The sequence below is a fragment of the Homo sapiens genome, chromosome 2, assembly GCF_000001405.40.
Source record: "Homo sapiens chromosome 2, GRCh38.p14 Primary Assembly".
In the NCBI taxonomy this organism is placed as follows: Eukaryota; Metazoa; Chordata; class Mammalia; order Primates; family Hominidae; genus Homo; species Homo sapiens.
This window is the reverse complement of record NC_000002.12, coordinates 173228690-173253051: the sequence shown is the minus strand read 5'-3', so window position 1 is coordinate 173253051 and position 24362 is coordinate 173228690. Positions and strand designations below refer to the sequence as shown.

General features: G+C 42.2%; 1 protein-coding gene and 1 long non-coding RNA gene across 5 annotated transcripts in view, besides 1 other annotated feature; one reads left to right on the top strand and one right to left on the bottom strand.

The window, feature by feature from the left end:
• Window positions 1-24362, bottom strand: part of MAP3K20 (mitogen-activated protein kinase kinase kinase 20) — a 192499-nt gene that overhangs the window by 14964 nt on the left and 153173 nt on the right. For all 4 annotated transcript variants that reach the window (XM_047444746.1, NM_016653.3, XM_047444747.1 and 1 more), the window contains exons 12-16: window positions 23319-23363; window positions 20830-20860; window positions 20593-20732; window positions 14617-14679; window positions 13556-13648 (exon numbers count right to left, since the gene is read on the bottom strand). In XM_047444746.1, the coding sequence (XP_047300702.1) occupies window positions 13556-13648; window positions 14617-14679; window positions 20593-20732; window positions 20830-20860; window positions 23319-23363 (372 nt within the window). The remainder of the gene's footprint in view (window positions 1-13555; window positions 13649-14616; window positions 14680-20592; window positions 20733-20829; window positions 20861-23318; window positions 23364-24362) is intronic.
• The window catches only part of MAP3K20-AS1 (MAP3K20 antisense RNA 1), an 84325-nt gene that overhangs the window by 28985 nt on the left and 30978 nt on the right, over window positions 1-24362 (top strand). The window lies entirely within an intron of this gene.
• Window positions 1847-3409: an enhancer, noted in NCBI's record as "VISTA enhancer hs242". NCBI's record gives its function as "enhancer in: neural tube[6/8] | midbrain (mesencephalon)[6/8] | forebrain[6/8]" and the evidence as "EXISTENCE:transgenic organism evidence [ECO:0001131][PMID:17130149]".

Below are 24362 nucleotides of genomic sequence, written 5' to 3'. Positions count from 1 at the left end.
TTGGGTACCAGGGAGTGATCAGAGATGAAAAAGAGAAGATGCAGCCAAGCAGCAACATAACAATGGCCAGTTTCATGAAATGAAGCAAAGAAGGAATAAATTCGTATCTTCTTACATAGATGGATCATATAACACCAATTCTGACCTTCCCTGCTTCCACATATCCTGATTCAGCACTACTAAGAAGCAGCACCAGATGCCTGGAGGTATTGTGTATGATTGGCAGCCAGAGAGCATTATCTTGGATGAGGAAACCAAAGCACAGAGAGATGAGGTAATTTGACTGAGGTCACACAGGTAGCAAGTGGTGGGGCACAAGTGCTTGACGGGCATTTGCAGGGAGTGCTAATTACTCTTCAGCAGGAAAAGGGAACTAGCCCAGGAGCGGAGGTGGGCACTGGGAAGTGCTTTTGCTAGGATTTCGAGTAGCAAAAAGTAGTTACCCGGAACTTTCCACTAGCTAGAAAATCTGCCTCTCAATGCAAATCTACAGGAAACAAATGGAATTTTGTTGGGGCGAGGGGAATGTGTGTGTTTGACATGAATGAAAAATACAACAATTCTGGTGGGTGCCCAGAATATGCATGTTTATCTGCTGAAATACCTGGGTAATTTTAGGAGCACGTGTGTGGCTAATGGAGGATGAGAAAGCATTCTATCTGAACTGCTTCAGGATCACCAAGTGAAAAAATTTTCTGAATTAAGACTACTGGCCAACTAAAACAGAAACTCTTACACTGTGAAGATAAAATCCTAAACGACACTCAGTTGATGCTAAATTAAGTATCTCTTTGTGAGAAATCACTATTACACTCTCTGCAAGCTGTTTAAATTTTTTTAGAGTTCCAAGCTAGTACAAGTGATGCCAAACATCACAGACAAGTGATCTCCCACAAGGAAGAAAAAAGGGAATGAAGAAAATGGGGGAAGAGGTGAGGGAATAAAAAGAAATAAGATAGAGGTAAATGTTCCAAAGAGGAAAAGAGATTAAAAGGTAGCACAAAAAACTAGAGTTTAAAGTTCTGGGCAATTCACAGACAATAATCTCAATCTCTCTCTCTCTCTCTATTTTTCCCTATCAAAATTTAATTGCATGTATCAACATTATACATAAAACCATTAAACAATCAAGACCAAGATCATTCAGGATATTTCAGAAAGAAACAGACTCCCAAAATTAGCCTTTCAGGCTTTTATAGATCACCTTTACCTGATGTTACAGACATTTAAACAATTTTAAGTGTATTTTCTTATTGAGGTATAATTTGCATATAATAAAATGCACAGATTTTTAATTGTACAGTTCAGTACATTTTGACAATAGTATATATCTGTGTAACCACCAGAATAAGCAAGGTATTTACGGTACCCCAGAACCTTCCCTCGTGCCTATTCCCAAACAAGCTGCCTGCGTAACCAGGACACTGTTCCAGCTTCTATCACCATAGATGAAATTTGACTGTTCTGGAATATCACAAAATTAGAATTTTACAGCAGGTACTTGTATGTTGTTTTTGAGATTTATCTATGTTAATTAATCCTCGCAGCCTTACCCTGTTATAGAGAGCACTGCCCCCATTTTACAGATGAGGAGACTGAGGCTCAGAAAATGGGGAGATTTGTAGCCAGGTCATTTGGCTTTGTAGGATAAGAATTCAAGTCCACGCATGCCAAATCTAAGCTGAGAGGTTAATTTTCAAAATCCACCACCACTCCCCAAAACCATGAATGGAGAAAAAGTAAAATCAACCAAGAATGCTCAGGGTTTCAGCAAAAAAGGCCTGTCTTGAGGAAGCAATTTAAAATATAAAATACAGAGGTCAGAATAAACTTTTTAAGATTCAAGGGAAGACTGGAAGAGCCACAAGAGTCACAACTGACTGTTGTGGCATCTATGAAGTAATGCAAGATGAAATAAGAATACGATAAAAATTTTGTTCATGCTGGTATTAAAAGTAGTAAGATGTTGACAATTTAGGCCTCTGAAGGCTCCTTTATATGCGTTGCTATTATCTAGCTCAGCTGCTGAAACCTGCAGTTTTAAAGGCAGGAGAGTGGAACATCCCGTGATAGCACCTGGGTTATTTATCATTAAGTATAACCCTGCTACACTATATTTTATTATGCTGCCTTTAAAAAAAGATAATACAAGTATGGTTAATTTGCTTCTCTTCTTTATCTATACAGTGTCATGACCCACCATGGCTTTGTCCCATGAGATTTGTTTTTTTTTAACCAAAAAGAAATCCACAAGAAACTCTCCCTAAAAATTCCATTAATAACCTCTTTCAGCGCGTATAGGTTGCAGGGTCTGGAACTAAGAATGTTTTAATCTCTTCAGCAAAACAATGTCTCATAATGATGTACAGGACTATTGCTGTACTGATGAAGAATCATACATAATTCAGCACCTTTCACTTGGCACCACTGTGATATCCTCATTAGCCGTGGCTCACAGTGTCTGTCAGATGGTGTCCATGCGAACGCAGGCATTATATTGTCTTTGAGATGTGCAGCTGCTTCCATGACACTGCCAGTATATAAAAACATGACGCCAGTTTGTTTTATTTAGTGCTAAACCTTCCAGTTTGTAAAAACAAGGCTGACACAGAGCCTGACATGAGGCAGTGAAAATAATTAGCTCTCATTTTCTCAGCCTCCTATTTCCTTCTCCCTGCTGTGTTCTCTTTCCACTAAACCACCACATGTCAGTCGAAATGGGAGGCAATTAGTGGGCTCATTTCAGTCCCCACAACTGTGCTGAAAAGAAAGTATTTATGATGGCACAATGAACAGCTGAAAGATTAAATAACATTTGCCTTTTGAAAAGAAAATGACTTCTAGCTAAATGGGCAATTTTTGATTATTCTCAAACAAGCTTAGAGTAGTTGGTTTTTAAAATACAAGAAAGGAAAATGAGTCATTTTTAGGTGAAAGAATCAAATAAAACTTGACACAGTAATGCAAATAACTGATGTTTTATTGCAAAATATGTAAATGCGTTATACCCTTAACAATGGCTTGTGTCTAAGGTCAGGGCAGACTGGTGCCAAGTAGACACCGGTGGAGATAAGGTTGTTATATTGCCTTTTGGGGGGTTGTTATTTGAGTTATGTATGAAAAAGGGGCTTTAAGGATGATGTTAAAATAAAGTGAAACAAATCAAGTGAGACATACTTTCATATGATGCATTACACACTTGACTGTCTAAAATGGTTCAGATGTTAGTTGACATGTTTGGAAAGGGCTTTTTTCCCCTTAACTGTATTTGAAATTGGAAAGTACTAGGTCTTCATGATGGAAAAAAATAATAGTAAGTCTTGCTATTGATTTCTGAATAATTAAGAATCTATTCTATGTCAGAGTGGGTTTCTTAACGAATATAGAAGTTGATCTCGCTTGCCTAAGCACTGCTTTAACATTTTTAAATACTGGGACATCTACTGCAAATAAAGTTTTATCCAGGATCCTCAAAATATAAAAACAGCTGTTCTACCTCCTAGGTTCTTCTCCTCCCACCCCATGACTTTAGGGGTGACTCGAAGAAATATGATTTTCAAAGAAACACTAACCTAGTTAGTAGGCATTGTTTACCAGTTGAGCTATTATCGATTCAAATCCTAATGTCCAGGATTGATACGGTTGTCCTACATCCTTGATTTTCCAACATAGTGCTTTTTAATTTTACTTCAAATAGTCTGTCTCTTTTATAGCTGATTATTCTCAACACCTAATTTTTGGTTTAGAAAACAGAAGCCACTGTGAGTACTGAGGTCTCTAGCTGCAGAACTTGCAGTGATCCTCAGAAGCTTTTGAAAACTTTCTTCTAAAAGCAAAGATCTCTCTCCTATAGACAACTGTGCCTGTCATCAAGGAGTCACAACTATGACTGTTTCCACGTTTTTTAAAGACAGTCACAAACTTACATTTTGTTTTTCTGTTTCCAAACTATATTCTTACTTTTTACAAAATTGAATCCCAATTTTTGATTTATGCATTATGGTCAGTATGAGACAATATGACAAAATGAGACAATGGTGATCCAGAGACCTAAGCCAACTGACAATGGATTCATTAGGAGACTGGAGCTCTCTTTGAGTTAAAGACACTTATTATTATAGTTGGTAACCAGCAATAATGTGCTTGTAATTTATTTGAGCCTATGTTTTATCATGTACATCACTATTTTAAAAGGAATTCGTAATCTTGATTAAGAAGACTAAGAGAGACCCAATAGTGTGCTGGAGCCAGCTCTCATGAGCTGATTGCTTACAGCCATTCCCAACTTCAAATCCAGTGATGCCAGATTGGTAACTTGAAATCGGCCATAGTGGGAATTTTTCACACCATGGAGATCTACACATGCTACAAACCAGGGCTTTCTCCCATTGTTAGACACTTCCTGGCATGCTAGCTTGTATGCAGGACTGTCAATCCATTCAGCAGGTATGCACTGAGCACCTCGCCTAGTTCTGCTCTAGCTCTCTAGCTCTATAGGTGGCTGTCCAACCCATTTGACAAAGTACATTGCCACACTCTGTAATTAGAAATCAGCAGTGACTTATGCAGTTGTAAAATTCTGAACTGCATTTGCTTCTTTGCTCAATTAAAACTTGTGTTTCTTTCTCATTTTTAAAAAACCACTTTATTGAGATATGACTGATATATGAAAAGCTCTACCTATTTAATGTATATAACCTGATGAGTTTGGAGATACATATATAAGACAGGGTAGGGACGGGGCTCAACCCTACCCTCCCAACTAGTATATTTTTTTCCATACATCCTCACTGACCGTGAGAACTTGTAAAATGTGTGACGAAACTGAGAAGCAGCATTCCACCATCAATCTCAAGGGAGTTAACCCTGTCACCCGCATGCACACAAAACCAAGAAAATGACCCATCCTAACCTCTTGCCTCATTATACTACTAAAATCCCCGCCCCAGGAGCTTATCTGCCATTTTTTGATCATGCGATGCATGTATTAACATGATTTCTCACTTCGCCTGCACACCCTGTGCTCTGTCCTGCACATGTAATGACTTTCGCTTACCTCATGCTTATTCATGTCACCCTTCTTAAAACACTGCAAGACCTGCCCTCAGAGAGCCAGTCAGAGAACTCTTGCTCCCATGCTGTCTCCCTTGGACTTGAGCATAGGCCCCAGTAAAGCCGTGTCTGGGAAACTTTCTCACCCTCATGTTAATTTCTGTTGCATGAGAACTCAAGAACAGGTAGGTAATGTATGCACCTATGAGACCATCACCACAACCTATGCCATAAACATTTATCTATCACTTCCAAAAGTTTCCTCCTGCCCTCTTATTTATTAGTTATTATTTTTATAAGAATGCTTAACATGAGATCAAATTTGCAAATTTTAAGTATATAACAACCTGCTGTTAATTGTAGATACTATGCTGTACAGTAGATCTCTAGAACTTATTCATCTTAGATACTTAGGGACACAAATTCATGTGTGCATACATGTATGTTTTTCTCTCAAAAAATAGTTGATCATGGAAATAAACTTCCCTTCACTTAATTTTTAATAAACGCAAGATACATCAAAGTAAAGTGCTGCTTTCTGCTCTTCTGAAATTTCCAAAAAGTGTTGGCTTTATACTTACAAAATCCTTTTCTTTGTGCCCTGTTATTTTATTCATGTTTATCTATCCATTTATAAAGATTGCACAATAGGGAAAAAAAAAAGCCCTATTTGACAGTTTTTGATATTTATAGTGCTCTGAGAAAGGGCCTGGAGATTCAACTAAGTTTATTAAAAGCAACATTTTATAAGCAATGTAATAAGGACTTAAAAGCACAATACAAGTGGGAAGCATTTGTAAAAAGCCGAATTTTTAACCTATAGATGACATGGCTGGAAAAGCAGAACTATTGATTGAATTTCTTCCACTGCGGAGTGGGAGAAGAGGCCAGGTGTTAACAATGGCAAGGGTGGAAGGCAGGAGAGGGAGTTGGCTGGGCAGGAAAGTCCTCTATTGATAAGCTTCCACTTTGTGGGCATCAGTAATTCTGCTTCTACCTCTTCCAAAGGTTCCTCTCATTTACTCTTCCTACTTTTCTTGCCCCTTTGAAATAGGAAATTGGAAGTGATGGTCATCTGGGAAGGAGTGGCTCCAGTCTGGAAGCCTGGTCTTTATTTAAGGACCCACTCATAGGTAGCCGGCGTGTTCGGAGAGTTGGGAGGGGCAGCGTGCTGTTTCCGTTACTTTTCCCCTAACCTCAGTCTCTTATCTATGTCAGGTTATCAGTTTAGACCCATGGGAACCCAGCTTCAATCAGGTTTCCTTTGCCTTATTGGGGAGAGGAGGAAATAAGGATGCAAGGAACAAAGTCTGTGGCGGTTGAGCATTTGTAAGGAATGGACGACTCCCCAAAGAGTTCCTTCCTAATTCTGCTTTTGAATTTTTATGACACACGAAGTCTCAAAAAGATCTTGGTGAGAAAACTGCTGGGTGATTTGATAGTTTATCTCTTGGCAATTTGAGAATCAATATTCCTGCGTGGTGAGCTGATAAGAGATATAATAATAAAATCTAGGCAGCCGAATATTTTAATAAAAAGGGGTGGTTGCCACCCTGGGGAGCGCATGAAGTCGCCTGAGATTCTGGAAGCCGCTTTCCTTTTGTGCCAAGTCAAAGGCCTTAGATTGTAAAACACAGGGCACTTTGATTGCAAAAACAAAAATAGTGGTAAGGTAGAATTAACTGACCCCCAAATGCCTTTTCATTACCAATATCCTTATTTTGGAGGACAATGGTATCTTCCAAAATGAGGCAGTGTGACACAGTAGTTAGACCTTTAGACTGAATTTGCCCCTTACTAGGTTGGAGCCTCTGGTGAGGAGTTTCACCTCTGTGCCTCAGTTTCCTCATGAAGAGGATGATACAGAGATAATGTTCCCTGTCATGTTGAGTTGAAACAATTACACAAATATGCCCTTTGCAAAGTGCTCACCAGAAGTACGAAGGAATAATAATTATCCCTAGCATGGGAAACATTCAAGCAGAGAAAGACACAATTTCTGCCAGTTTGATTGTCGTAACTTCCAGGTTGTCTCCACATATGATGTCATCTAAATTACTATTATTATTTGAGATGAGTCTTGCTCTGTTGCCCAGGCTGGAGTGCAGTGGTGCGATCCTGGCTCACTGCAACCTTGCCTCCTGGGTTTAAGCGATTCTTCTGCCCCAGCCTCCCAAGTAGCTGGGACTACAGGCGCAGGCCACCACACCCAGCTAATTTTTATACTTTTAGTAGAGATGGGGTTTCACCATGTTGGCCAGGCTGGCCTCGAACTCCTAACCTCAAGTGATCTGCCCGTCTTGGCCTCCCAAAGTGCTGGGATTACAGGCATGAGCCACTGTGTCTGGCCTATGTCATTTAAATTAATAATTAACTTTACTACTTAGGAGCAGGTCAAGTAAATGGGGGTAAAACCTGTTTCGCTTATTAATTTAAATTGCCAGTGAAGCCTTTGGTCTAATCATGATGTTTTCCCTGCTAGGTTGTTTCAGAAAAAGCACATTTCACTTGTGGGAGAATTCTTGTAAGCATCAATGGGGCTGGAGCCTGGTCAGGTCCTGGCTCTTTGGAGGGATGTGGCTGTGAAGACTAAGCGCATGGGCAAGATGGCCCTGCAGCCACTCCTGATTATGATAGCAGGGCAGGCACTCAAACACAGATCACCTTCCAGGGTTCTGCAGATCAACCTCGCTTTGTGCCATCATCCATCTGCTTGTAAAATGAAGCTAAGAAAAATAACTTGATCTGAATTCTTAGGACAAAGGTGGACAGGGTTTTTCCTTTACCTATTTGTGTATAAGGTAATATTTTCCTGGCTTGCTCTTAGTAGGCTTCAAGTTGTGGAAATGACATAATTTTAAGGGGTAGTTAGTGGGTGGTCCTTCTCAAATGCAAAGGGAAAATGTAGCTACTATTTTCATGATAAAGTCACTGTCATACCTTATTCTCAATGGCTGCCATTACAACACATTTTTCATTTTACTTGTAAAAGAAAAGGTGAAATCCAGCAAATGCCTCTGCTATGCAAACTCCTAGGTTGGAGAGAACTTGCAAAGCTCCAATTTTCTCTTGGAAAGCTTATTCCGGTCATGGAGGTGGGGGTGGACTTAAAGGCTTCACCTTTCCCATGAAGAGGGTTTCTGAGAACTTGGTTAATTGGGATGTGGAGGAAGCCTTTTTTTCTTGGGTTCTATCTTTAAGGCCCAAGGCAACAAGGTTTTCGTGTGGGGAACTGAAATTTCAATTCAAAGCACATTAATCAGAAAATATTTCATAATGCTAAGACATAGGCTGGCATAGCTGGTATAATTCAGAACAGGATAGTAATTTATTCTAGGACTGTTTTATATAGGTTTACAGATGGCTTAAATGTTGTGGGTCAGGTGTGAGATCTAGCACATATTTACTACAAAGACAATAATAAAGATGTAATTTCTGGTCTTAGCTCTGTCCTTGCCTCATCCCAGGCAAGTCATACACTTTCTCTTGTTATCTCTTTCTGAATCAGCAACGATGATACTATGAGTTATGCATCTCACCCAAATGCTAACGGGATAAAGGAGATGACATTTATTGAATACCTGAGCTCTTTAGAAATGTATTATCTAAGCAAAAGCTTTAAGCATTATATTCAGGAAATTATTCTGCAACTGCCCACCAACCTCTTCAAGCCCCAATAAAATACTCATGGTTCCAAAAAAGCTTTTCCTGATGAACCTCACCCATTCCAGTCACTTCTTTATACTTTTAGCACCTTAGCATGATATTCACATTGTATATTTCACTTTTGATCCACCACTTTATAACATCATCTCTCTAGTTGCCCACACTAGAAACCTCAGCACCCTCCTGGCCCCTCCCTCCCACTTGCTGCGTCTCCAGCTAGTGACACAATCTAATTCCGTTTCAGTGTGTCCTGGGACCCATGGCACTGTCACAGGCTCAGCGCTTTGACATTTTTCACCTGGTTGTCTGCGCTGCCCACTCACAGATCTTTCTCACTCTAGCCTGGCGGCCCCTTTCCAATTCATCCTTCTCTGTGCTTCTGAAAGATCTGTTAAAAACGTAAATCTGGGCCGGGCGCAGTGACTCACGCCTGTAATCCCAGCACTTTGGGAGGCCGAGGCGGGCGGATCACGAGATCAGGAGATCGAGACCATCCTGGCTACTAACACGGTGAAACCCCGTCTCTACTAAAAATACCAAAAATTAGCCGGGCGTGGTGGCGGGAGCCTGTAGTTGTAGTCCCAGCTATTCGGGAGGCTGAGGCAGGAAAATGGCGTGAACCCGGGAGGCGGAGCTTGCAGTGAGCCGAGATAGCGCCACTGCACTCTGGCCTGGGCGAAAGAGCGAGATTCCGTCTCAAAAAACAAACAAAAAAACATAAATCTGATCCTATCTGCTCTCTTCTTAAAATCCTTAAAACTCCTTGGCTTAGCACATAAGACAGTGCTTTTTCTGGTCGCCAGCCCCCTTTCTGGGCACTCCCTTTGGCATCCCCCTGTTCCAAGGTAAGTCTTTCTAGAGGGAGGATGCTTGAGTTGAGTCGTGAAGTCCCCTCAAAATTATTCCAAGAAAGAGCTCCCTGTGTTTTCCTGGCTTCATGCTTTTGAGCTTTTGCACACATGGTTTCGTCTGCCTTCAATGTCCTCTCCTTACCTAGTCATTCTTAGTGGCTTTAACATTTTAGCTTAAGCAACACTTCTACCAAGAAGACTTCAAGGACCCTCCCTCACCCCTTTCCCATCTGTTGTAGATCCTCATCCAGTGAACTCCCGTGGAACCATGTAAATGGCTTTGTAAAAACTCATCATTCTGTATGTACCATAGCGTTTTGTGGATTTTGTCTATTGCTTATGATAAGCTGTAGGTTCTGTAAAGGCTGGGATTGTACTTTTTGATTTTGTATCAAAATCTAGCATCTACCTTAGAGCCAGGCACAAAGTAGGTCCTCAGTAAATGCCTGCCAAATGAATAGATAAAATTATTACTCTGGGCTGGGCGCGGTGGCTCACGCCTGTAATCCCAGCACTTTGGGAGGTCGAGCCGGGTGGATCACGAGGTCAGGAGCTCGAGACCAGCCTGACCAACATGGTGAAACCCTGTCTGTACTGAAAATACAAAAATTAGCCGGGTGTGGTGGTGTGCCCCTATAATCCCAGCTACTCAGGAGGCTGAGGCAGGAGAATTGCTTGAACCTGGGAGGCGGAGGTTGCAGTGAGCCGAGATTGCACCACTGCACTCCAGCCTGGGCAACAGAAGGAGACTCTGTCTTAAAAAAAAAAAAAAAAAAAAAAAAAGAAAGATTACTCTGGATGGGTGACCAAGGAACAGCAGAGGATCAAAACCTGCAGCAACTTTAGGGCTTGTAGATAATCTATGACTCAAGAAGTCTACATCATTATTACCAAAAACAGACCATTGTATTCAGTTTCAAATATTATCCATAGCTCCTTATTTTTACTAAAAAATAGATTTTTCAGTTTTCCATTATTAATAAATTATTTCTTTTTTAATTGAAAATATTTTCTTGGCCAGGCGCAGTTGCTCACGCCTGTAATCCCGCACTTTGGGAGGCCGAGGTGGGCGGATCACCTGAGGTCGGGAGTTCGAGACCAGCCTGGCCAACATGGAGAAACCCTGTCTCTACTAAAAATACAAAATTAGCTGGGTGTGTTGGCACGCGACTGTAATCCCAGGTACTTCTGAGGCAGGAGAATCACTTGAACCAGGGAGTCGGAGGTTGCAGTGAGCCGAGATCGCGCCATTGTACTCCATCCTGGGCAACAAGAGCAAAACTCCGTCTCAAAAAAAAAAAAAAATTTTTTTTTCTTGGTTGAGATCTCTGTTCACAAATCTTTTCCAAGGAAATTTTTTCTCTCTTCTTTTACCACCTACAAGCCATAACAAAGCTTAAAGATAACTCATAAATTCAATGTCATGGAATCAAGAAAACCAGAAAAGGCAATTGAAATGTGCAATTTGTTTACCATCAGATGAACTTAGGGGTGGCCACAGCTGCAGAATCTCAGGGTTAGAAGTGCTTCTGATATTGTTGGAGACAGAAGAACTTACTTTCCTGTCCCCTTTCTGTAGCTCCTTCTAACAACAGGAATGAATAGACAGTGATCCATTCACAGAGAGAAAACTATTCTTATGTAAGAAACCTGTATCCAGAGCAGCTCTCACTCAACCAAAGTCTGTGGCCGAAACAAGGGAGGTAAAGATTTTCATTCAGCAGGTAAAGAAATAACTGCAGTGGTGCAGGCAAGACACATTCTTGCATAGATGTCTAGAAAGGGCATCTTTAAAAAAAAATTTAATGTTTTTGGGTATACACTAGGTGTATGTATTTTGGGGGTACATGTGATTTTTTATTTTTTTTGAGATGATGTCTTACTCTGTTGCCCAGGCTAGAGTGCAGTGGCACAGTTTTGGCTCACTGCAGGCTTGACCTCCTGAGCTCAAGTGATCCTTCCCACTTTAGCCTTTCCAAGTAGCTAGGACTACAGGCTTACACGACTACACCCAGCTACTTTTTGTATTTTTTGTAGCAATGGGATTCCACCGTGTTGCCCAGGCTGGTCTCGAACTCCTAGGCTCAAGCGATCCCCCAGCCTCAGCCTCCCAAAGTGCTGGGACTACAGGTGTGATTCACTGCGCCCAGTCTTTGTGATGCTTTGATACAAGCATATAATATGTAATAATCACATTAGGATAACTGAGGGCATCCATTACCTCATTTCTTTGTGTTACGGACATCCCAGTTCCACTCTTTTAATTATTTAAAAACATATAATTATTGTTGACTGTAGTCACCCTGTTGTGCTATCAAATAATAGATCTTATTCATTCTGTCTATGTTTTCACCCATTAACCATCCCAGCATCCTCTTGCCCTCCCCTGCTATGCTTCCAAGCCTCTGGTAATCATCATTCTACTATCTCCATGAGTTCAAGTGTTTTAATTTTTAGCTTCCGTCTTTCTGCGACTGGCTTATTTCACTTAACATAATATCCTCCGGTTCCATCCATATTGTTGCAAATGACAAGATTTCATTCTGTTTGGGAACGGTATGCCATTGTGTATATGTACCATGTTTTCTTTATCTATTCATCTGTTGATGGGCACTTAGGTTTGCTTCCAAATGTTGGATTTTGTGCGCAGTGCTGCAATAAACATAGGAGTACAGATATCTCTTCAATATATTGATTTCCATTCTTTTGGTTATATACCTAGAGTGGGATTGCTGGATCATTTACATTCCCACCAACAGTGTACGAAGGTTCTCCTTTCTCCACATCCTCACCAGCATTCATTATTGCCTGTCTTTTGGATATAAGCCATTCTAAGTGGGGTGAGATGATATCTCATTGTGGTTTTGATTTGCATTTCCCTGATAATTAGTGACGCTGAGCCATTTTCCATATACCTGTTGGCCATTTGTATGTCTTCTTTTGAGAAATCCCTATGCAGATCTTTTGCCCATTTTTAACTGGATTATTAGAAAGAGCATCTTTGGAAGGCCCAGGAAAAACTCAACCCCTCACAACAATTTCCAGTCATTCCCAGGCACTGGTTCCCAGGAATGGCCTGGAGCAAGCATGGTTTCACTGAGGAAAGGCCAGGGCCAGCTGAGCCTACCAGAGCAATCGGTAGGCTTACACAGCTTGTAAGGTGTATTTATAAGGTCCCTTGGCTTCCCTCAAGGGAAGGCTTCCACATTATGAGTAGTTAAGAACTTCGGTTCTGAGACCAGAGCAACCTGCATTCAAATCTTTATTCTGCTATTTGCTAGCCATGTAACCCTTGGGCAAGTTATTTAACCTGTCTGAGCCTCAGTTTCCTCATTTGCAAAATGGGGGAAAGTAGTTTTCACACTTCAGTACTGTATGCCTGGTACACAATAAGTGGTCAGTTAACAGAAGTTATCATTATTATCATTAGCTATTTATAGTAATCAAAAGTAACACAAACCTACTATAATTCTAATTCACAGGCTACCTAGGCCAAATAATTTTTGCAGACTTTCAAAATGACATAAACTGAGAGGCTTATTGAAGAAGTGTTGCTCAAATGCCCTGCCACCCTATTTAGAGCTGATAATTTGGGTCTCCACATGGCCTACAGTTTCATTCTTAGTTTTTATTCTTGGTATTATAAAGCTGCTTTCTCTTATGAATCAGCAGGAAGCTGTGACATGAGTGGTATACACAGTCTGGTATCCACGGCCCCCCTTCCCTGTCCATACTTTACTGTGAGTTACCCTGATGTTTGGGTGGCCTCACATGGGCGTCTTCAGCTGACTGAGAAAGTAAGATTCCTAGACTGGATTACAGAGGCAGCTGGCAGCCTTTCAGCTAAATTCTATTTTATAAAGTCTATAAATTTACTCAAAATCCAGTTACCAGCTGGTAGGGGGTGTATAAAACCATGGAGTTACAGAAGAGAAAAAAGAGTAGTTCGATTGAGATTTATCCAAAGGATTTAAAATGTGATTTACCTGTGGGCCAGTTCCTGGTTTCAAGTGAAAACCAAAAACCAGTTCCAGGTTCACTATTTTTTCCTCATTTTCTTCAGGTTCACCTCCTGAGTCCTAAAACAGGAAACCAAGCACCAATTATTCTAGATGTTGTTTTTACTTCTCATGTAAAGAAGATGATATCTTGGCACTAGTTTTTTTTTTTTTTCTATTCTAATCTATTAACTTTTGGTTATTTTGGATTAAGCTACAAATTCTAATTACATCAACCAACAGAAATGACATATTATGCCTTTCAGGACTTTGCCAAATGATTTATTTCATGCAGTTCAAATTGAATGTCACTGTCTTACATTTATCACAGTGCATCTTGCATTGTGCAATTTTACCCTAGAAATGCACTTAGCACCTAGAGATGCATTGTGAGATTTCAACTTCAGAGGTTCACAATACCCAGGGCATTTACAAGCTATTCCCAAAGACGGATTACGCAGTGGATGGAGGATGCAAATGTGGATGGAGGATGAAGCAGAGGAACAAAACGAGTCTTTGAGGGCTTAGAGATGAAAAACTATAGCTGTTAGTGAATAAGTAAAGTTCTGTGTATGAATTGCAAGTATTTGCTGATTTTAAACAAAGTATGCCATATTCCTTTAAACTAGATTCAAAATGTTAAGTATACTAATATGTTATTCAAACAGTAAACCTCCCATCCCCTATGAAAGTTGACGATCGAGCGCTCCAGGGTATGAATTCTCTCAGTGACTTACATGTTGAAAAGTATCCAGGGCCAGGTGGGAGGCCACAGGACCTCACCGATAATGTTGGCACTTACAACTCCTAGCCACTAAAGTAAGGTGTGTTGTTCTTATCATGAACAAATTGTTAATATTTCAACTTGTGGGGAACAAGGGTGTTCAATTTATACACTTCCCTTGCTTCAAAGGGCCTTTTGTTAGACAGATATGATGAAATTTCACTTCAAACAACCATTACTGACATTGGCAAATTTAGGTGTGGATGCAGCAGGTGCATGTGTCAATAAAGGTAGCATTAGTGTCGGTAAGAAAAACCTTACTTACCTTAATTAGTGGTGGGAAGTGAAACAAATTTATGTAATCATGGGTTAATTTCTCAATGGCTGACTGTAAAAAAAATCATATGACTTTATTAATGATCCAGTAATACCAAGAGAAGACTAAAATCATTGGGTACAAACAAAAACATTCCTTATTTACCTAGTTCATAAAATATCTTGGGGGCATTTATATCCAACGTCTATTTAGAATAAATCTCATTGTCCAAAGCAGTGTAGGTGGTTTGTAATTATTTAAAGGACCAGAAATTTTTAAAAATTTTTTATTTTGGAGACCAGGTCTCATTCTGTCGTGCAGGCTGGAGTGCAGTAATGCTATCATAACTCTCCACAGCCTTGAACTCCTGAGCTCAAGAGATTCTTCCATCTCAGCCTCCCAGGTGGCTGGGACTCAGGCACACACCACCACACCCAGCTAATTTATTTTATTTTTTGTAGAGATGGGGTCTTTGTGGCCCAGGCTGGTCTTGAAATCCTGGCCTCCTGCCTTGGCCTCTCAAAGTGCTGGGATTACAGGGATGAGGCCAAGAAAGAAGACATTTTAAAGATGTTGAACCTCAGACTAAGCAATAAATAAAACAATTTTTCAAACGCCGCCAGAGTATAGTACTGAGAAGTGGATGTTCTGTTGTACAGAATGCAGGTGCCACTCTGAATAACAGTGAGCAAAGCAGCACAGCACATAACACCAGACTTTCAGGAAGGCTAGAATCTCACTAAAAGGTTGATTGCATTATAAGAACATTTCTTTGGATATGTGTCCAACATCCCCTCTGCCAATGAAACACAAATCTGAAAGGAAAGGAAGACAATTTAAATGATGATTTTTTGGATACTCAGCAGGCACAGTTCAGATTTTCTAAGAACTGATTGCAGAGAGAGTAAAAAAGTACCAACCTGAGAAAATTAGATGCATTTTATTTTAAAGCAAAATAAAAACTGTTGACAGCTGACAATGTAATGAACACTTATTGGGTGTTCAGTCCTACTTCTTACACTCTACTCCTCCACACGAGGGCTTGCAGGCTCAGAGAAGAAGGGAGCCATGGTCAGGCTTAAAGGGAGGGACAAACACAAAGGAAAAGAATGGGTGGGGGCCGCGTGCGGTGGCTCACATCTGTAATCTCAGCACTTTGGGATGCTGAGGTGGGCGGATCATGAGGTCAGAAGTTCGAGACCAGCCTGACCAACATGGTGAAGCCCTGTCTCTACTAAAAATACAAAAATTAGCCAGGTGTGGTGTAGCCTGCGCCTATAATTCCAGCTACTCAGGAGGCTGAGGCAGGAGAATCGCTTGAATCCGGGAGGCGGAGGTTGCAGTGAGCCAAGATCGCACCATTGCACTTCAGCCTGAGCGGCACAGTGAGACTCCAGCTCAAAAAAAAAAAAAAAAAAAAAAAAAGGTGGATATACTGCTCCACTGTCCAGTTTGATCACCTACCATTTAAGGACTGAGAGACTCTTGGAGAAAGTACACAACAATTGTGCCTTCCTCAGTGAAAGCACAAAGAATAAAGGAAGGATGCATTCTTACCATCAGGCTGTGTGTGAGAAACACTTCTGACAAGGACCAGGAGGACTCCTCCAGCGTGGAGCTACTCATCCCCAAAGGCCCAGCTTGGAGCATTACTTATCTTAATTGAGAGTCTATGCAGGGCCCTCCTAGAGTAAGTGCACATGACCCTTTCCCTTTATCTTTCCCTCTCATATAAACTTGTTGGAAATCCCCATGCTCTGGCTGAGTTTAGTGGTCACCTGTTGGCTGAGCCCCCACTGGGTAGCCATTCTTACATACAGCCCCAGCCTTGGCAGTAAGGGGGAGGGGTCCGCATTCCACACTTTGGAGACTGCCCCTCTGTGAATGACTGTCTTTAGAATGACTGAGTGCAGACTCACTCAGGAGTTTGAGGGCAGTGTTAGGTCCCCCAACAGATGCAGGCTACTCCTTCATTTGGAGCTCTGGGCAGACCCTCTGCAGAGGTCATAAAAAGAGAACATTACACTGACTCCACTCTAGTGGGTCAAATAATTTTTTTTTTACTTTTAAGTGGCTGCTTCCAACAGGGCTTTTTCTCTCTGCATATTCCTTGGCTTCTCTGCAAGCTTAGACCCCTGTCCCCTGTCCCTGCCTTTTTTTTTTTTTTTTTTTTTTTTTAGACAGGGTCTCACTCTATTGCCCAGGCTGTAGTGCAGTGGTGCAATCATAGTTCATGGCAGCCTCAACCTCCTGGGCTCAAGCGATCCTCCCACCTCAACCTCCCAGGTAGCTGGGACCACCACAGGTGTGCACCACATGCCTGGCTAATTTTTGCATTTTTTGCAGAGGCAAGGTTTCGCCATGTTGCCCAGTCTGGTCTTGAACTCCTGGTTTCAAGTGAGTTGCCCACCTTGACCTCCCAAAGTGCTGGGATTACAGGCTTGAGCCACAGTGCCTGGCCCTTAGACCCTTTCGACCACCGATTCTATCTTAAAGCTTTTCCAACGTTTGACTTTTGTAACAGCATTCTCTCCTCATTTCCTACTTTGTGGACAGATATTCCTGTCTTCCTCTTCACTTTCCTGGCCACACACATCCTTTCTGCCAAAGACAGAAAGCTTCCTAGCTGGAAGAAGACTACTCTTGGGCAGGGTGTAGAGGTGCCTGTGCTTTCCTTTGCTTTATTATTATTTTTTAATGAGGTGAAATTCACATACCACAAAATTAACCATTTTAAAGTGGGCAATTGAATGGCATTTAGCACATTCACGATGTTGTGCAACCAGTACCTCTATCTAGTTCCAAAACATTTTCATCACCCCCAAAGGGGGCTCTACTCCCATTAGGCAGTCAAGAACCCTTGCCTCCTCCCCCTAGCAGCTGGCAATCACTGATTGCTTTCTGTCTCTATGGATTCGCCTATTCAGGATGTCTCATACAATATGTGACCTTTGTGTCTGGCTTCTTTCATTTAGCATCATGTTCAAGGCTCATCTATGCTGCCACACATATCAGTGTGGAGTCCTAATAAGTAAGCAACAACGAGGAGGGGGTCCCAGGTGGGGGATAACAGTTGTTCTGAGAGACGGCTAATCACAGACAATCACAACAACCTGTTCCCAAATACCTCATTCTGCAAGTAACTCCAGAAGCATGACCTCGTCTGCACACCCTATCTGGACGTAGCCCCTCCAGTATGATCCCATAAAACTTCCCTCAAGCCCCTGCCTCTTGGCAGACAGCCCCTTCTCTGCTGTGCTGCCCATTGCACCCTTGCAACACATCTTCACACTTTCTCTAATAAATCTGCCTTTCTTTACCTACGACTGTCTTGGTAAATTCTTTTACTGCCTGCGACAGCGGCCCCAGCCAGTCCGTCCACAACAATCAATACTTCATTGTGCTTTCCTTCTTGAGCCTGAGAACAGCCCTCTTACCTGTGACATCTTCCCCTTCTCTCCATTCGCGTTTTTGCTACACTGCAGTGCTTATTATTCTCCACATTTATACCCTCCTGTTTTTTCAAAACCCAGCCTTGCCTTTTTAATACATTTTAAAACTTCCAGAAGCAAAGTGTAAACCTGTCAATTCTCAATACTCCCAACAGCTGGTCAAATTCCAGCTCTTTCCCCCCAGCCTGAAGTTGTAAGCTGTCCAGGATCCGGCCCCACCTTCCTTCCACTTCAGGTGCCATGCGTTCTACTCATCACCCGTGTTCTGCAGACGGAGCTGCTTATGCTACGTAGGTCGGGACTCCTCTTTTCTGTTCCTCCACATTCTCTTCCATTTCTCTTAACTCTTTGTTCTCTCTGTCTAGATTAATGTTCTTTCCTTTCCTGGTCTACATTCCAAAATCTGTCATTCCTCCAAGATCCGGCTCAAGGGCCACCCACTCTGTGAAGTTTACCCTCTCCATCTCCCACCATGGCCTCTCCCAAGTCCGGGTAATGAATTGGTCCTTTCCTCCCAGTTGCCAAGGGGATGCTGTGTGCACGTTTAATCTTTTCTCTGAGATGTAAATTCCTTAACCACAGGTTTCTTTGAATCTTCATAGGCCCAGTCTCACAATTAGTAGACATTCACTGAATTTTTTGAACAATAAATAGTAAGTCTGGACTTCGCTTGCCTAAATGATACCGCTCAGCATGAAAGGGGTACTTAGGTTATCCAGGGCCACCCTTGGAAAGATGTAAATCACTGAGGGCTTCTGGTGAGATATCCCAGCTCACCACCCTTCCTCCGAACTGATCCTTAAGGAATACTGGGCCTTTTCAAAGATGGCAGGTGGGAAGGGGAGGTGGGAGCATCTTATTTGGCATCTGCCAAATAGGACAAGATTTACAAAATTTCTTTTTTGGAGCTCTGAAACATCTCTGTACTGCAGAAAATACTTTTTCCTACTGTGGCCCACCTAAGCCAGCATAGCTTTTAGGATGGACTTGCCCACACCCAGAGGCTGGGATTACATTCTTTGCCAGCCTTTGGGAAATACGCTATGCATGAGTTCTCCTGCCCTTCTTCTAAGAGGGAGAAGACAGCAAGGTCCTCTTTCTGTTGTGGAAGTGGTCTCTGGTGGGTGAGTGCCAAGCTGTTACTGTTACGCAAAGGGTGCTGAGAGTCCGTAAGGATGTTTCTTCCTGGACCTAGGGTCCACAGAATGAAATGAATGGGCTCTCTTTGGGCCTTAATGGAGATTTCTCTAGAAAGGTCACTGTGGGTAGCTCTGAGGTAGGGACTAGCTGGCGTGTTGGTAGAGCCTTTGTGAAGGTGTGGATTTGGACAGGAGGCTGCCTTTTCTGAATTTTCTCCTTTATTCTGTTTCTCTTCTTTCTAACCTATACACACTCGTCCATCTACCCACACTGGAATGGGGGGTGGGTTTGGGGAGCAAACCTGATTTTATTCTAAGATCTCTCTTGAAACAAGATTAGTCACAATGACCACACAGATGCCAGCAATTCTTACTCAGTTTAAGTTGCTAAATTGAAAAAACAAAAACAAACAAAAAACAACCATGACCACGACCACCACAATGAACACAGAGGTTTAGCTTTGAAACTACTTAACAGTTAAGTTTTGGGGGAAATGTTAGAACTTCCTGAGTAAGTGGGGATTAAAACACATACATGGTGGTGTCTGTTCCAGGTCATAATGACAAAAATTACAAATGCCTTTAGGTTACTGCATTGGCTTAGGTTTCCCTTTGGCCATGCAGAAATTCTGGGGTCCTTAGGGATTCCTGATGGATTTTTGTCCTCTCTAGAATTAAACTGAGTCACCTCCTGCTATTCTGGGTGGATGGCTGTTTTCCAGGCACCACACTGCCTTTGTGGTATTTCTTACAGCCGTCATTTACCATTATCGCATAGGCAGTATCTGTTTTCTCCACCAGATTAGAGACTTCCTGAGGGCAGGGGGGTGATATTCAGGTTATCTCCCTGTGAGTCCTACTATACCATGTATGCACCTTTTTGCTGTTTGGATTATGAGGAAGGAATAGGGGTGCCTGGGGGCAGCTGCTGATTATCAACTTGTGTAAGCATTTCAGCACAGTAATGACCAGCATAGCACTGTTTCCATCTGCAGCCCCTAACACGTGATCTGCTGCATAGTAGGTGCTCAATAAAGATTTGTTGATGGAGGCCAGGCCTGGTGGCTCACGCCTGTAATCCCAGCACTTTGGGAGGCTGAGGCAGGTGGATCATTTGAGGTCAGGAGTTGGAGACCAGCCTGGAAAACATGGTGAAGCCCCATCTCTACTAAAAATACAAAAATTAGCTGGGTGTGGTGGCACGCTTCTGTAATCCCAGCTACTTGGGAGGCTGAGGCAGGAGAATCACTTGAACCCAGGAGGCGGAGGGTGCAACGAGCCAAGATTGTGCCTTTGCACTCCAGCCTGGGCAACAGAGCAAGACTCTGCCTCAAAAAAAACCAAACAAACAAAAAAAGGGTTTGCTGATGGAATGTTGTCCCTTTCTCAGGTACCTTGAAGTGAATGATATGCCCCTTGGAGACAATGCCCATGTCTTTCAGGTCTTCTTCCTCCAGCAGCAGCAGCCGCTTCCCTGTAATGTTGTTTTCTTTAAACAAGCTTGCATATACACTCATCTCTGCTGAAGAGTCACCTGAAGGAAGTGATTAGAAAGCAGAATAAAATTAGATGAAATCACATCCAAAACAAAGTTAACTCCATGATTGAAGAAGGTAACTTATTCCACTTGCCTTTTCTGACGAGCTGCTGAACCCAACAATACTGTGAAAGAGAGGACACATACGGTTTTGAAGATTCACACATGGTCAGTGGCCAGTCTTCACAGTAAACATAGAGTTTTCAATAGATCAAAATAACTTTAATTCCTGGCTCAACCACAAAGGTAAAATAGAAGACTTTCTCTTTGTAGTTTTAAAACCTCAAGCTTTCAAATGGGAGATATCCCTCTCTTCGGGGGTCTTGGACAGTTAAAAGCCCCTTGGTTTTCCTCCTTCTTTGGGAGATATTTTTAAATCCTTTCAAGAGGGTTCTTACTTATAGTGATTTTTCCATTTATGTGCCAGTGGTCCCCTGGATTGCTGAGGGGCACCAGTTTACTCAGGAATTGTATGAGTTCCAGGGACCACACAGCAGTGGACAGAGCAACAGACAGAAGGAATCTTTTGTTCTAGGCCAGGTCATGAAGTAGCCACGTGGCCCCAGCCAAGTCAAAGTGTGGAGCTTCCTATGTAGAATGAGGAGATTGGACCCAGTGACCCTTAGTCCCTGTATATCACAGGGTCTGGGTTTACTGGTGGCCTCTCACAGTACCTTGGTGAGGAGAGAAGGATGGGAGGCCAGACTCAGTCCCTGTGATTCTCTGGGGAGCCCTCAACTCTGGAATTTTATTTAAGTGGCCTGGAAGCCACTCAGCCTCAGAGCAAAGACTAAAAATAGCTGTTAGAACTCAGTGATTTTTCAAAAATTTCTTTTCAAATGACAGGGGAAACTCTGCAGCTAGGGATAAAGAGATGATATCCAGGCTTGTGAATAAAGGAGACCCTGAGTCCTCTTTCCTTGTTAAGCAAGGCTGGCAGGAAAGTGAGACTCACTGGGGCTCAGTGAATGGGAAGAAATAGTGGCAACTGGTGCCAAGTTTCCTTACCCTACGGAAGCCAAAGAGGTTAGCTAATGTTGAAAGCAGGTGCACTTCAAAAGAATACAAAGGGCAGAGAGGGAAATGCCTGGGCCCAAAACCAGGTTGAGCTAGGTAAACAGATCTTTTGAGGAGTTTCCAGTAGCTAGTCTGCACTTTGTGGCACCTGGTCTGTTCCCTGGGCTGGAGCCCAAACCCACTAAGGCTGGCATTACATCTTTTGTTTTTTTCATTTTCATTTAGTGATACCCTGAGCTTGTTAAATAGACCTGGATAGCATAAGTCCCTGAGTTTTATAGAACTTAAAAAAAATTTTTTTTTTGAGATGAAGCCTTGCTCTGTTGCCCAGGCTGGAATACAGTGGTGTGATCTCAGCTCACTGCAACCTCCACCTTCCATATTCAAGCGATTCTCTTGCCTCAGTCTCCCAAGTAGCTGGGATTATAGGCATGTGCCACCACACCTGGCTGATTTTTGTATTTTTAGTAGAGATGGGGTTTCACCATGTTGGCCAGGCTGGTCTCGAACTCCTGACCTCAAGTGATCCTCCTGCCTCAGCCTCCCAAAGTGCTGGGATTACAGGCCACCGTGCCCAACCTAGTCTCTGAGTTTTCACATCAGGAATTTTCATACCTGTTTTGTCACTAAAAAAATAGATATGGTGATGTAACAGACTAAGTTGGATTGTTTCTCAGGGTTTCTATCAAGAATGCAGAGTGCAGGACTTCTTTTGGACTTCAACAGTCTGAGTGCAGCCTCTCAAAAACATAGGGCTTCTCTGGCTAAAGCTACAGAGAATGTCTGGGCGTGCTTGTGTCTATTCCCACTTGGGAGGCCAGAATAAGGCTGGCAAATATGATGCCTCACTTTCAAACAGGCCTGAGGTGGAAGGAAAGCCGGTTCAGCGGTGTACCAGCCCAGCACTGCCTTGACCAGATCCTCCTCTACCATGGCTCGAGGCCATCCCTGTTCTTGTAAAAAGATTTAATATCACTTTTTTTTCAAGTATGTTCATTTGTTTTCCCGAGCTGCCACTTTAATTTCCTCATGGGTATTTGTTATTGTATTCTGGAATAGTTTCAGAGTAATTTAGGAAGGTAGAACCCACTTAGAAGATTTGCAGAGATACTTGCTTTACTCTTGAGGCTTTATTTTCAATCATTATTGCATTAAAAACAGAAAAAAAGGCCAGGCACAGTGGCTCACACCTATAATCCCAGCACTTTGGGAGGCTGAGGCGGGCACGTCACTTGAGGTCAGGAGTTCGAGACCAGCCTGGCCAACATGGTGAAACGCCATCTCTACTAAAAATACAAAAATTAGCCAGGCATGCTGGTGGGAACCTATAGTCTTAGCTACTCAGGAGGCTGAGGCAGGAGAATCGCTTGAACCTCAGGAGGTGGAGGTTGCAGTGAGCTGAGATCGCACCACTGCACTCCAGCCTGGGAGACAGAGTGAGAAAAGAATTTGTCAACCTCTCCTAGTTAGACTTTCCTAAGGCCCAATCTCTTCCCCTAAAAACTTAGGGAAAAATTTATGAAATACCTGCTCAAGTCAAATAAGGCATGAATACAAAGAGCTTACCACATCGTCTTCCGTCCATGCACCAATCTCAAAGGAAGGCAGCAGCTGCATGGGAAATATGCATGAAATGAAAAAAAAAAGTAATATTATCATTGTCTTTTTGGTTCATCCTCTTGTCTCACTCTTTCAGCTCTCAGCTGCTGCTCTGGCTTGGTTCCTCCTGCAGGTTGGGTTGAATGGAAAACAGTTTTCCTGACCTTAAGAGGCAGTTCTCAGTGCTCCAGTAATGTTCACCAATCTCTCAGTAACAATTCATGTACTTTGGGAGCTGTATCATATTCCTTTGTTGGTACCTGGTTTTTACATCCCACAATCAAGCCTCAGCAGTCAAGCAATTTCTGACATTTTCTCAGAGACCTAGAGTCTTCCTCAGAGTCTCAGCCAACATGAGGACTGTTGGATTATTAATGAAAATTCCAAAGCAACCACTTAGTAACCAGATCATGTATTATGCCTGTTCTCAAGGGGGAATTTCTAAGTGTTGAAAGATCTCATTTGCACAATATTTTAAAAACCAAATGTTAGCACTCACGGATGAAGAAGGACATGGGAAATTGGTACGGTCCTAAGAAACCCAGGCTGCAGAGTTGCTCTAACTAAAACAGATTAAAATACCTCCCTGTGAGGTTCACAAGTACAAATGAAGATGCCTCCAGAGGACTTCAGCCTGCACCATTTTCAGAGCCAAAGAACTACTTACTGTCTTCAATATATGCCCCATGGCCATCTAAATAATAAATGCTTACATAATTTTTAGAAGTCTGTGTGTCCTATAAGTCAAATTAGAGTTTGGTACAGCTATTAGCTTTAACTAGCCTAACTTGCCCCCCAAAAATGAATTGCTTATGAGATAATATGGCAAATTGTCACTCATCTTCTGTTACAAATATTTTCTTGTGAGTGAGTTTCAAAAAAAAGTTGAGTTTGGTTGCTTTTACTGTTAGTATAAAAATCATAGGGTAGGTGAGTTAACCTTTCTAACTTACAGGTATTTTGTACCCACATGCTCAAAATTCTGCTAGGAAAGGCACAGCCCCTGCCTTC